The 13,897-nt window shown below is 39.4% G+C and overlaps 1 protein-coding gene across 12 annotated transcripts in view, besides 1 other annotated feature; it reads left to right on the top strand.

The window, feature by feature from the left end:
• BRD7 (bromodomain containing 7) overlaps positions 1-13,897 on the top strand; it is a 53,032-nt gene that overhangs the window by 34,662 nt on the left and 4,473 nt on the right. For 4 of the 12 annotated variants that reach the window (XM_047434006.1, XM_011523050.4, NM_001173984.4 and 1 more), the window contains 7 exons: positions 630-753; positions 5,583-5,658; positions 7,936-8,043; positions 8,444-8,579; positions 10,629-10,740; positions 12,289-12,345; positions 13,550-13,664. In XM_047434006.1, coding sequence (XP_047289962.1) covers positions 630-753; positions 5,583-5,658; positions 7,936-8,043; positions 8,444-8,579; positions 10,629-10,740; positions 12,289-12,345; positions 13,550-13,664 — 728 coding nt within the window. Of the gene's footprint in view, positions 1-629; positions 754-5,582; positions 5,659-7,935; positions 8,044-8,443; positions 8,580-10,628; positions 10,741-12,288; positions 12,346-13,549; positions 13,665-13,897 lie in introns of those variants that run through there. The other 8 variants (NM_013263.5, NM_001437990.1, XM_011523049.3 and 5 more) reach the window with 5 other exon arrangements.
• Positions 6,918-6,967: an enhancer, noted in NCBI's record as "active region_10815". NCBI's record gives its function as "activates an Ori minimal core promoter by ATAC-STARR-seq in GM12878 lymphoblastoid cells {active_cell/tissue: GM12878}" and the evidence as "EXISTENCE:reporter gene assay evidence [ECO:0000049][PMID:35858748]".

Genomic DNA, 13,897 nt, shown 5'->3' with positions numbered 1-13,897 from the left:
TTAAGCAGATGGGCTGTCACTGCAGCGTGCCCATGTTTTCCACCCAATGTCAGCTGGTGGGAGCAACGCTGAACCACTGTTCCACCTAGGCAGCCACCTGTGCAGCTGACGGCAGCCGCATCTGCCCGTTCACACTACTGGGAGCCAGCCCTGACCGCCCAGCACCTCACTGCCAACTTTGGGGAGGGTTGTAGTTAGCAGTTTGGGATTTTTGCTGTCATAATGCAAAGAAAGTAAACTAGTGACAAGTTTTTCTTTGTTCTAAGATTTACACACTTAAGTGCTTGTTTTAAATTTTAAAAATCAAACTTTAAAAGAACAATGGTATATTGTTCTCCCTTCAAAGTAATGTTTGAGGTAGAACTAATTTTTTTGTAAGTTCCCAGAAAAACGTTTAACACAAGTAACACTGGACAGAAAAAGGTAGGGAAATAACATGTTAGGTGTGCCTTACTGTTTCTGTTCTTAAATTAGAGACCCTTAACAGGTCATCAAGGAAGTAAGTTTCAATGAGTGACTGTAGTACAAATGTCTCCACTTTAGTTGTATTCATATTTAGAATTCATTTGAATGTTTTCATCTTACTTATCTTTGTTTTTTTTTTACTTAGTATTAATGTATATTTTCAGGAAAGACAAAGATATGCTTGAAGATAAGTTTAAAAGCAATAATTTAGAGAGAGAGCAGGAGCAGCTTGACCGCATCGTGAAGGAATCTGGAGGAAAGCTGACCAGGCGGCTTGTGAACAGTCAGGTGATTGAGCTTTGCCTTTTCTTTTCTCTACCTACTGATTTGGGGCATCTGAAACTTTTAGTTTTTAAATTGCTTGCGTATTTTTAATCCATATCTGCCATAGAGCTCTTCATCAGTATAATACTTAGCAGAAAAACAATTAATAATGGACAGACAATTCCCTACAATGGGTTTATCAGGGTGTTAAATGCATTTTCAACTCATGATATTTTCAACTTACAGTGGGCGTGTTGGATGTAACTCCATTGTAAGTTGAGGACCATCTGTGTTCATTTGTAAAGTACATGATTAATCTTACCCTCTTTTACTGGATTTTTAAAAAATGAAGTTATAATATGTTCTAAAATTGGAACATGAACTACAGAATTTAAATTTACAGGAAAACATTTGTATTCTGGTCTTTTGAAATCATATTGTTTAGCATGTTGGTTTTATTTAATTTTAGATTCAAGGGGTACATACACCATTTTGTTACGTGGGTATATTGCATGATGCTGAGATTTGAGCTTCTCTTGAACCCATCACCCAAATAGTGAACATAGTACCCAGTAGGAAGTTTCTGAACCCTTGCCCCCTTCCCTCCCTGCCCCCTTTTAGCATTTCCAGTGTCTGTTCTTCCCATCTTTGTGTCTGTGTGCACCAGTATTTAGCTCCTACTTTTAAGTGAGAACATGGCAATATTTGTTTTTCTGTTTCTGCATTAATTTGTTTAGGATAGTGGCCTCCGTCTTCATCCATGTCGTTGCAGGGGACATGATTTGATTCTTTTTTATGGCTGTGTAGTATTCCATGGTGTGTGTGTGTACCGCATTTTCTTTACCTAGTCCTTTGTTGGTGGGCACCTAGGTTGATTCTGTGTCTTTGTTGTGCACAGTGCTGCAGTAAACATACAAATGCATGTGTCTTTTGAGTAAAATGATTTATTTTCCTTTGGTACATACCTAGGATTGCTGGGTCAAATTGTAATTCTATTTTTAGTTCTTTGGGAAATCTCCAAACTGCTTTCCACAGGAGCTGAACTAATTTACATTCTCACCAACAGTGAGCATTCCCTTTTCTCCACAACCTTGCCAGCATCTCTTATTTTTTGAGTTTTTAGTAATGATATAATATGGTATCTTATTGTGGTTTTGATTTGCATTTCTCCAATGATTAGTGATGCTGAGCATTTTCTCATATGTTTGTTGGCTGCTTGTATGTCTTCTTTTGAGTGGTGTCTGTTCATGTCCTTTGCCTAGTTTTTAATGGGGCTATTTGTTTGTTTCTTGTTGATTTAAGTTCCTTATAGATACTGGGTATTAGTCCTTTATTGGATGCGTAGTTAGTCCTTTATTGGATGCGTAGTTCACACATATTTTCTCCCGTTCTGCGGGATGTTTCTTTACTCTGTTGATAGTTTCTTTGGCTGTTCAGAAGCTCTGTAGTTTAATTAGGTCCCACTTGTGAATTTTTGTTTTTGTCACTTTTGCTTTTGAGAACATAGAAAATTCTTTGCCGAGGCCCATGTCCAGAAGAGTATTTCCAAGGTTTTATTCTAGGATTTTTATAATTTGAGGTCGTACATTTAAGTGTTTAATCCATTTGGAGTTAATGTTTGTATATTGTGAGAGATAGGAGTTCAGTTTCATTCTTCTGCACATGGTTAGCCAGTTTTCTTAGCGCCATTTATTGAGTGGTCTTTCTACTTTGTTTATTTTTGTCGACTTTGTCAAAGATCAGTCGGTTGTATGTATGTGGCTTTATTTCTGGGTTCTCTATTCTGTTCCATTGGTCTGTGAGTTATTTTGTTTATTTTTATCAGTATCATGCTGTTTTGGTTATTGTAGCCTTGTAGTTTTATGGGAGCTTTTGTTTGGTTTGGTTTGATTTTGAGACAGGGTGTCACTCTGTCGCCCAGGCTGGAGTGTGCAGTGGCACAATCTTGGCTCACTACAGCCTCCACCTTGGGAGCTCAAGCAATTCTCCTGCCTCAGCCTTCCAAGTGGCTGAAAGTACAGGTGCGTGACACCATGTCCGGCTAATTTTTGTATTTTTTGTAGAAATGAGGTTTCACCATATTGCCCAGGCAGGTCTCAAACTCCTGAACTCAAGCAATCCACCCAACTCAGCCTCCCAAAGTGCTAGGATTACAGACATGAGCCACCGTGCCCAGCCTGTAGTATAGTTTGAAATTGGGTAATGTGATGCCTCTGACTTTGTTCTTTTTGCTTAGAATTGCTTTGGCACTTCAGGCTCCTTTTTGGTTCCATGTGAATTTTAGAATAGTTTTTTCTGAATCTGTGAAGAATGATGTTGGGAATTTGATAGGAATAGCATTGAATCTGTAGATTGCTTTAGACAGTATGGACGTTTTAACAATATTGATTATTCCATGAGCATGGGATGTTTTTCCATTTGTGTCATATATGATTTCTTTCAGCAGTGTTTTTTAGTTCTTCTAGAGATCTTTCACCTCTTTACATATATTCTTAGGTATTTTATTTTTTCTGTGGCTGTTGTGAATAGGATTGCATTCTTGAATTGGTGCTCAGCTTGAACATTATTGGTTTATAGAAATGCTACTGATTTTTGTAAATTGATATTGTATCTTTACCAAAAATACATTTTTCTTTATATACTATGTATATAGAATTGTTTCTCTTATATCTAGTAATTTTAATAACATATTAACTATTTTAACTTTTAGTAACCCTAATTTCAAGTGAAAACCCTAAGATTACTTAATATAACATGACTTTAAGATTTAAAATTACTGAAGAGAATTTTGAAACTAGTTTTATTTACCAAGGATTACTAAAGTTGTGTGAACTAAAGGGCATTTGAGCGAAATTCTGTTTTTTTTAAATAAAATAATTGATTTAAGCACTTACTTTTCTTTGGTCAGTTGATTAGAGCTCTTTCGTATATTTTGGTAGTGATACATCACATACACATGACACATATATAGACATACAAACACACAGAAGCAGATCTTGTAGATTTATAAGATTCTTCATTTGCCAGTTTTCACTTTCTCTCCCCCTCTTAGACTATCAGTCATTTCCAAAGTCATAACAAAGTAGACGAAACAAGGTAGAAAATTTACATCTCAGAGGCACAGAAGCTATACCTAAACACCATTACCTGAAAACAAGTTGATTGCCAGAAGGAGGTTGCAGTGAGCCAAGATTGCACCTCTGCACTCTAGCCTGGGCAACAGAGCGAGACTCTGTCTCAAAAAAAAAAAAAAAAAAAAAGTGTCCTCTTTTCAACTTAACTTGTTTCCTTATTAGATTACTGGTTTCAAGAGGGAGCCCTTTAAGGAACAGGGCCAAGAAAGCATGCAGTTTTTAGGGCCTAATACTTACTGGAAGGCAGGTTTTAGATCACCCCAAATCACTGAATCCTGGGTCCCCAGAAAGCTGAAGAGATCAGGTAATACAATACAGAAAAGAGCAGAGTTTTAGATCTGAGAGGAATCTGTCTGCTTACAACTCTTGGTATTCTGTGAGGAAAAACAGAGATTCTTCCCAAAAAGAGGAGTCTTTGATGCCTTTTCTGTTTACTCAAGAGATCACAAGCTGCCAGAAATTCCTTTAGGTCCCTAATATGGTATCGAGGGTGGCAAGAGGAAGGGGGGACAGCCAAACAGAACTCAGTTGACTGAGACATTTTACAGAGCCATTACAGCGGCGTTAAAACAGTAGACATATGTGTGTATATGTATAGCCCAAATAGCAGTTTTAACTGAGCCGACATTTGAATATAGAGCTCTTTTTTAAAAAATATTTTTCCTAATTGTAATTCCTACTCAGGTTGTTTTACTTTTGCTTCTGCTGCTAGCTGGGCTCCTGTTGCCAAACAAGCAGCCCACAAAAGTGGCCATCTTGCTGCAGTGGCTGCCGGCTGCCCTTCCTGACCACAGTGCGATGGATGGCTCTCAGCCGACAATCACTCCAAATACACTAGTGTTTTCAGGGCGTCCTTGTACTCACGCACAGGCATCTAAAACATGAGCCATACCACTCAACGAGGAAGTGGCTGCCACCTGGGATTTCCTCCACGGATGCTTCCTTCCCTTTGCCCATTTCTTGGTCCCTCCACTCCTGACTAGCTCACCACATGTTCCAGCTTAAATGTTTCCAGAAAGAAACATTTAACAGGGACTTAGGAACAGAAGCCATGTCTTGGGTGGCAGTGAGATGGTGGGTCCCTGTCACGTTGGTTTTAAAGCCAAGTAGGTGTATACATGCCTTTAAGCAAGCCACTGCCCTCACCTGGTCCATAGTAGCCTTTTTTGATAGACTGGGGAGGACTAGGTGGCCTTAAGGACCCACAGAGCTCTTAGAATTCTGAGATTTTCTTCACCTCCATTTCTCTAGCCCATCATCCCCTGTGTGAAAGTCAGTATCTTGAGTTTAATGATTAGCCACCTGTAATATTAGTTTGGTTAAAATAAGCCTTTGTGGTTTGCTGCATATATGAATATGGTACAGGCTGAGCATCCCTAATCCAGAAATTCGAAATCTGAAATTCTCCAAAATCTGAAATTTTTTGAGCTCCGACATGATGACATAAGTGGAAACTTCCACACCTGACCTCATGTGACGGGTGCACAAAATTATTTATTGTATAAAATTATTTTCTGGCTGTATCTGTAAAGTGTATATGAAACATAAATGAATTTTATGTTCCATCCCTAAGATATCTCATTATGTATATGTAAATATTCCAAAATCTGGGAAAATCTGCAATCCACAACACTCTGGTATCAAGCATTTCGGATAAAGGATACTCAGCCTGTTTGTATAAAACACTTCATTCCATCTGAATACTTTGGGTCATTGCAGTGCGAATTTGAAAGAAGAAAACCAGATGGAACAACGACGTTGGGACTTCTCCATCCTGTGGATCCCATTGTAGGAGGTAGGATCAGAGTAAAACTGTGCATGAACTTGATGCTATTTGGCAGAGAACAGTAACCTGGGTTAACATTTTAAAGCAACAAGCTTGAATATTGATCAGTCTGTGTCATTATGCACAAAGGATCTAGCTAGACATCATGTATTTCATGGTAACAGCTAGCCTAACTTTCACTTCATCTTGAAATAGGTACAGTATATCAAGTTTTCCTTAAAATTCAAAGTCCCTGAAATATTTTAAACCCGCCATTAACAAAGCCATAACTTTTAGATAGTAATTCCTAGCCCTGGTTTTAAGAGACTTTAGTATAGACACTCAGTTTAGAGGTATCTCATACACACAGAATATGATATTATAAATTTAACTGTTTATTTCAGGGAATAAAATGAATGTATATGCCACATAGTGCCTTAATAATAATGGAAGGTGTATGCTTAGTGACATCGTATCTTTCACTATAGTCAGTAGAAAGTTTGTAAAGATTGGGAATCTTTAGAACCTCAGTCATATTTTTGTTTTCTCAAATGATGTTTTAATGGAAATCATATAGGTTATATTTTGAAATTCGATGTCACAATTAGAACTTTTTGTCACTGGTCTGAGGAGAGAATCATGTATTGAGATATGCAAATGTGAGAATGTTAATTTATTCAACAAATTTATTTTCATACTGTCATAATGAAAGAAGTAATTGGAAATACGAAAATGAATAATGACAGAATTTTTACCCTTAAGGAAACAGTCTCTGATGTTTATTGTTTGCTGTGAGCAGGGTGCTGTCTTAGGAGCTAGCTGTGTAGTAGAGAACAAAACAGAGAGAGAGGAGTCCCTTTTCCTTGTTCTATGGAGTCGGGGGAAGAGGACTCACATAAAGAGAAGTCTGTCCTTAATCAGTACTATGCAGGTGTGTGTCTATAATGAATAAATACTACAAAGGAAAAGAACAGCTATGATCATAATAGAAGATACCAACCTAGTGTTTGGGGGTCAGGGAAGGCATCCTTAAGGAGATGATGTTTAGGTTGAGTAAGGGATGAGAGAACAGCAGTTGTGAAAACCTTGAAGCAGGGAAGAGCATTTGAAGATGGAAAGAAGGGGACTATGAATGTTCTCTAAAGGAGGAGAACAGTAATAGAAGAAAAGGAGCTAGTGCTGTTTTCAAAACAAAACTCAGTTTCTACTTTGATGCAGACAAGTAGAATTTTATATGATCATAGGTCAAAGAATGCCACAGGATTGAGAACATTGCTCTTTCTACTATAGCTGTGGTGAACATTTGGTGTTAGGAGATGCAGCTAACTGATGTAGGTGACACCTTAAGATCTGCTGCTTTCTGTGAAGCCGAGTGTGGTCTCTGTCCTTGCTCTGGTTTCCTGGGTTTCCAGTTTCTGAGACCTAATCAAATGTGGCCAAAGCTGACTTGGCTCCCCGTGTGCACAGCTCCCTCTGTAGGCCACTTTCATGGTTTAAGGTAGAAGACACCCCTGTTCATCTTCTCAGCTTCATTGTCTGGTACCCGTACCTATTAGGAAACCAAATTCCAGACTGTTGGCTGAGGAGAGAAGATCTGATTTAGATGTTCAGTTGCTTAACAGTGCCTTCACCACACTGGTCACTGATGGCAGTAGCCTCCGTTGAAGGCTGATCATGTGACACAAACTCAGACTCTTCTTCAGGAGAGCAGATGTCCCTCTGTTAGATACTGTGGGAGACCACATCTTCTCCTGCCAGCATCTTTTGCAGTCCCCTCAGGTGCCCATACGTGACATTTCTCTATGTCACGTATTCCCAGCTTCATCACAGGGATTCATTCCTGGCTAATGCCTGTTCTCGTTGCACTAAAAGTATGCCTTTCATAGATACTCATTTATCCTTCATGTGTTAGTAGCCCTTTTGTCTTTAATGCAGGTGTTTTCCCTCAGTCTTTTACTAACCTTTGTACTGGTTAACTTTCATCTTAACATTAAAAGTCCCAGCTTTTAAAAGTTTTTGTGGCTTTTGTTTTTAATAAAAATTAATTTTTTAAGTGAAGTGTACATGATTATAAAGAATTCCAGGAAGCAGGAGAGTGTAATGAACAGGTCTGAGTTTTGGTCCTGGCTATAGTTCTGCCTTTCTGAGCTTTGATTTTCTTATAAAAGTGGATGTAGTAAGCGCTTCCCAGCCTCCTTCACGGTCATGCAGATGACATGCAGTGGTTTGTGCGGAGTCACTCGGCAGAGGGCCCCGTGGGTCATGGCCATGTAGGCCTCCTTCACTGTGCTCTGTTTTATGTTGTAGAGCCAGGCTACTGCCCTGTGAGACTGGGAATGACAACTGGAAGACTTCAGTCTGGAGTGAATACTTTGCAGGGGTTCAAAGAGGATAAAAGGAACAAAGTCACTCCAGGTGAGGCTCCTGCATAGGAGTCATTTTTTCTCTTCTCTGTTTTGGGATATTAGGGAAAGGAAGCACGATTATGCTTTATTCACTAGGTGGGCACCAGTATCTTGGTGGTATTTTTGCAACATTAATTAGCTATTTTATTAACTTCAGAAGAGACTGGAAAATTGGGTATTAGTATTCAAAATGAATTTTGTTCTTTCTTGTTCCTCTCCCTCTCCCTTGTAGGGAAGAATTCACTTGAGTTGTAACTTTACAAGTACCTGTTTGAGAGAAAATATCTTAGATTTGCAAACCAGCCAATGAAGTAGTAAAGTTAGGAGAGAATAAATAATCTTTTGGTAAAACAAAATAGATTGACATGCAAGTTAAAGAATAGTGTTACAGTATTTGATTTTTTCAACAGTGTTATATTTGAATTATGGGCCCTACAGTTCTTATGCACCGCATTATGACTCCACATTTGCAAATATCAGCAAGGATGATTCTGATTTAATCTATTCAACCTATGGGGAAGACTCTGATCTTCCAAGTGATTTCAGGTGAGTTTCCAGTTAATATTCTGATTACATTTGTTTAAAAACATTAAAGTACATACATGATTTGTGGATAGACTGACAAAGCTGGCCGAGTAGTAAAAAAAAATGTGCTCAGTAATTTTTTTTTAAGCTGACAATAATGGATTCATAGTTACTATTATCCTTTAGTGGAGAGAGAGAGCATGTCTCCCTGATAGTAGCATCTGCAGTATTTTAATTTTTAAAAAATATATTTTTAAAGAGACTGTACCTCAGCCAGTACTAAAGTGTAGGAACTTGTTACTTCAAAACGTTGATGTGCCATCTGCTGTCTTATAACATGTTGTGTGTCAGTGAGTTATGGTCCAAACTTGATCAGTTTGGGAACCTACAGTGCATTTTCCCCAAGAAAGGAGGCAGGATAGGATGGCTCTATTCCATAGGCAGCCCACATAAAAGCCTTTTTGACCAATCACATGCCAGGTAGACCATTGCAGTTAAACTCAACCATTCTTTATTGCATGTTTCTGTGGGAAGATCATCTCTGTGTTCCTGTTTAGGATGCTGAGCAGTTTGGATCCCATCAACATAATGAGATCCATCCTGACTTAGCAGGATTCTGGCTCAGGATGGGACACTGAGCTTGGGTTATGGCAGTAGTTTACTGGATATTATTCCTTCTTAGCAGTAGTACCTTGCTAATTTTCATTACATATAAGAAATTAACCCTGTAGATTCACCAGTCCCCTGCTTTTCTCACAAAGAGGGAATCTGTTCACTTTTACATTAGTAAGTGTGGTTTGGTTGTTGTTGTTTTTACAAGGTAGAGGTCCTTAAGTCCGAAGTTGACTGTGGTTTCAGATCAAGCCATTTAATCTTTTAGACCTCACCAGCCTGAATGAATTCTTTCTGGATCATGCATCTATGCATTCCACAAATAGGGATTGCACAGGGGAACAACACTGGCAAAGGCCCATGCCCTCCTGTCAAATGATGACAAGTGCTTTGGAGAAAGGTAAAGCAGCAGAGAAGGAGAGAGTAGTGCTGGGGCTACGAGAGGGATGCACTTTTAAATCGGTCAGATAAGTCTGGTACAAAAGGGAAAGTTGAGCAAAAACTGAAGGAGGTGAGGAAGCAAGCAAGGCTGCTACCTGAAAGAACGTTCCAGGCAGTGCAGGAGCTGTGCAGAGGGCCTGAGTGGGAGCCTTCCCAACATACTTGAGAACAGCAGGAAGAAGCAGAAGAGTGCAGGCACATGGCCAGGGAGGGCGTTGATGAGAGTGGGTCTTTATAAGCACTTGGAATTTCATTCTCAGTGAGATGGAAGTTACTGGTGGATTGCGAGCAGAAGAGTGACCCGGTCCAGATTATGATGTTTAAAGGATCACCCTGGCTACTCTTGGAGAATAGACTGTAGAGAGGCAAGGGCAGAAGTAGGGAGATGAGAAATGGACCGGGGGAGTAGCAGGTGAGGTTCTGGGAAGGGCTCAGTCATCAGCCAGTAGGATTTCTTTACTGATTGAAGTGGGATGTGAGAGAGAGATGCCGAGGCTTACTCCAGGGTTTGCACACTGAGCCTGGAAGACTGCAGTTGCTATTTACCGAGAAGGGGGAAGCTTTGGAACATTACTTGGGGGGAAGATCTAGCATTTCAATTTTGGATATTTTAAGCTTGAGATGTCTGTTAGACTTCCATGTGGAGCACCAAAGGGTGTGGTCCAAACTGGAGGTGTAACTTTTGAGAGTTTTTTGATCCCATATGAAAGTCCTGAGGTGAAGGTGATCACTGCAGACAGGAAGTGAGGGGGCGGGGAGCAGAAGATCCAGGGACTGAGCCTGCACCCGTCACTGAGGTTTCATTTTTCTTTGGAACGTTTTATTTTTACTGTGTTCTTCATATTATCTCATGATAATGTTATTGCTAATTAATATGTAGATACCATGTTGTGTCTAGGCAGAAATTTGATGTCATGATGTATAACCGAGGACATCTAGTGGAAACAGTTGGCTCTGATGGGAGGATAAAGCCAGTGGAGGTGATTTATGTGAGACTTTCCTAACTGTCTCTTGCAGCATCCATGAGTTTTTGGCCACGTGCCAAGATTATCCGTATGTCATGGCAGATAGTTTACTGGATGTTTTAACAAAAGGAGGGCATTCCAGGACCCTACAAGAGATGGAGATGGTAAGAACACTGCTAATGAAAACAGGGTAATTTATTATCGACTCTCAAGCATTAGTCATTCAGTATAATGAAACCATGGGATTAACAAGTATGACAGCTGAACTCTGTGGCCCTGAAAGACAGCCCAGCCCGGCTGGAGGCCACGGGTGGACAATAAACGGAAAGGAGTAATTTAGCTACCAGGATCTGTGAGGGCCTGAGCGTTATCCTTATCTCCTCATCTTGGGAATGTAGGACTCAAAAATGGGGTTTACAACTCAGAAGTCAGTGGGCATTGTGTCCTCTAACAAAAAAGGAAAGTTTTGCTCACTGGCCTGAAACTAAGTTGGCTAAAATGATAGGGAATGGCTTTTCCTCGTGCAGTAATAGCACATCGGGAGGAACCTCAAGTTAAAAAGTAAAAAGCTTCCTCATTGCTATTTTATTAACATTTGTAAGCTATCTCTAGTTCAGTTGGAGATAGTTGGTAATCTGGAATCATTCAGAGTTTTGGCTTAAGGATTAGAACCAGAAAATGTTCCTACTGATACAGAAGAGAGTTGATCTCCAGAACGTTCCTGTCACAATAGTTAGAGGAACCCTGTGTCTTTTGGAGGTCTAACTCTTAATGGTGACTGTGACTGTAGTGCCTGGTACCCTGCTCACAACTGCACATATGGTTGCTGGGTGACCTGTCAGCAGAGCTGAGGTTAGTGCCTCGGTCAGGCCCAACGATGACTGCTGTAAAATATCCGCACTTGGACTGCTTTCATCACATGACCTAAAAAATGAAATTTTACATCAATTTAAAAAATACATATTTTTTTACCATATCCTCATCAATTAATCTGAATGAATTAATAGTCTAACGAAAATTGAATATTTTTCATTTGGTGAATATGGCAATGTGTTTCAAAATGTCAAGTGTCTTTGTCCTTCAATATAGCAGTTCCTCTTCTCAGAATTTATTCTAGAAAAAATACAAAAGTTACATATAAGGTTACATTGTTTATAATTTTTAGAAATTGGGAATTGGTTAAATAACTCACAACCTTTCAAAGAAAGATGACATCATTGATTGATGTCCATGATATATTTGTCTCTTGTTCCTGGGTGCATTAGCTCTGAAGAGCAAGATTGGGAAGCTTTCACATTCTCTGTAGCATTTGATTATTTTACAGTAATCCTCTGCTATCTGAGAATATTGCTGTGTTCATGCACAGTAATCCCTAGAACTCCTTCCTGTCTTCTCGTCAGGGATTTTTCTGATAAAAACAGATACCATTTATTTACATATTTATAAGTTATTTACCAAATACCTTCTTAAACATGTATATAGCTTTTGATCAGGCATGGAAATAACATCACCAGTAATAAGTACCCCAGCTCACAGAATCCTCTCAAAATGCTAATAATTATATTTAGTCATTTTGGCCTGAAAAATTATATTCCAGTAGTCCATATTTGTATTCATTTTCTCTTGCCAAGAAACTCCTGACAGTTTTCTCTTTTCCTTGATATTCGCCTTCATGTGTTTTCCTAAAAAGCTGTTTTTCTTCATCCTTATAGTCATTGCCTGAAGATGAAGGCCATACTAGGACACTTGACACAGCAAAAGAAATGGAGGTGATTTTATTTTACACTTTACAAGAAATATTTAAATGGAAAATAAGGGGAGTAAGAGAAGTCTTGAGAATGGGAAGGCCCATTGGGTAAGAAGGAAAAAGGTTAGTGAGTAGAGTTGTGAGGGCCTAGCTGAAATGGCAAACCATAAATGCATATCAGTGCCAAGTTGCACAATTATACAGTTTCTCCCCCACAAGTTTTTAGCCCATATGTAGGTAGAGAAATCAGGTGGATCAATGGAGTTAGAGTTGGAGAGCCATACCATAGTATAAATGGAACCATTAGCTTTTGATTGCTTAATATCTGGGTTGATCTATTCCTAAAAAGTAATGTTGAGGTTATGGAAACCCCTGAGTCTTAATGATTCTGAAAATAAAAACTCCATCTTTTTTTTTTTTTTTTTTTTTTTTTTTTTGAGATGGAGTCCCGCTCTGTTGCCCAGGCTGGAGTGCAGTGGCACAATCTCGGCTCACTACAACCTCCGCCTCCTGGGTTCAAGCAGTTCTCTTGCCTCTGCCTCCCGAGTAGCTGTGATTACAGGTGCATGCCACCATGCCCAGCTAAATTTTTTTTTTGTATTTTTAGTAGAGACAGGGTTTCACTATGTTGGCCAGGCTGGTTTCAAACTCCTAATGTCAGGTGATCCGCCCACCTCGGCCTCCCGAAGTCCTGGGATTACAGGCATGAGCCACTGCGCCAGGCCAACTCCATCCTTTTTAAGATTTTGTTTCTCTCATGCAATACTGACAGCCTAGTTTGGAGGCCTGGAGAAGACCCGGGAAGTGTATCAATAGGAATGCAAGTATACGGACTAGATGGACTGAAATATGAAATAGTCTTTGAATCTCGAAAACACAAGGCATTGTCATCACCAAAAGCTCTTCACAGTTTAAGCAACAACAAGGCTCTCATTACTTCATCTTTAGAATAGTTGCCATACTAAACAAATGATATAAATTGTATAAGATACATCATTACATTTCACAGAAGTATGGATTTATTGAATACCTGTTTTTGCCAAGATTTGGGAATAGCATTTTAAAAGGGTGTTCTGGAAATTCATTTTCTGTAAGCATCAAAATTAGGACTCCATAGTAAATAGGTAGAATAACTTTGCCTGTAAATACATGCCATCTGAGTAATTTCTAGTTAACACTGCTGTGGCTTAGCAAGCGCCAGTAATTGCCTGTTTTTCCTTTTGAAGCAGATTACAGAAGTAGAGCCACCAGGGCGTTTGGACTCCAGTACTCAAGACAGGCTCATAGCGCTGAAAGCAGTAACAAATTTTGGCGTTCCAGTTGAAGTTTTTGACTCTGAAGGTAAGTGTCTCCAGAGGGTTTGATTGAAACACTGCATGATGTAGGCAGTCAAGATTTCATGTCTCATAAGTACAGATTAACATAGCCATTCACCACAGGAAGATCTTGGCTTACCAAGTTAAATGAATGGGTATGGCGTGTTGATGTCATTTCAAGCGGATTACTCTTTTGAAGGGAGAAGGCTAACCAATAATTAGCAAAGCCCTAGAGCCTAGGATTCGGTTTACTGCACA

This window comes from Homo sapiens, chromosome 16, assembly GCF_000001405.40.
Source record: "Homo sapiens chromosome 16, GRCh38.p14 Primary Assembly".
Taxonomy (NCBI): Eukaryota; Metazoa; Chordata; class Mammalia; order Primates; family Hominidae; genus Homo; species Homo sapiens.
The sequence above is the reverse complement of the archived record's forward strand: the minus strand, read 5'-3'. Positions and strand labels throughout refer to the sequence as shown.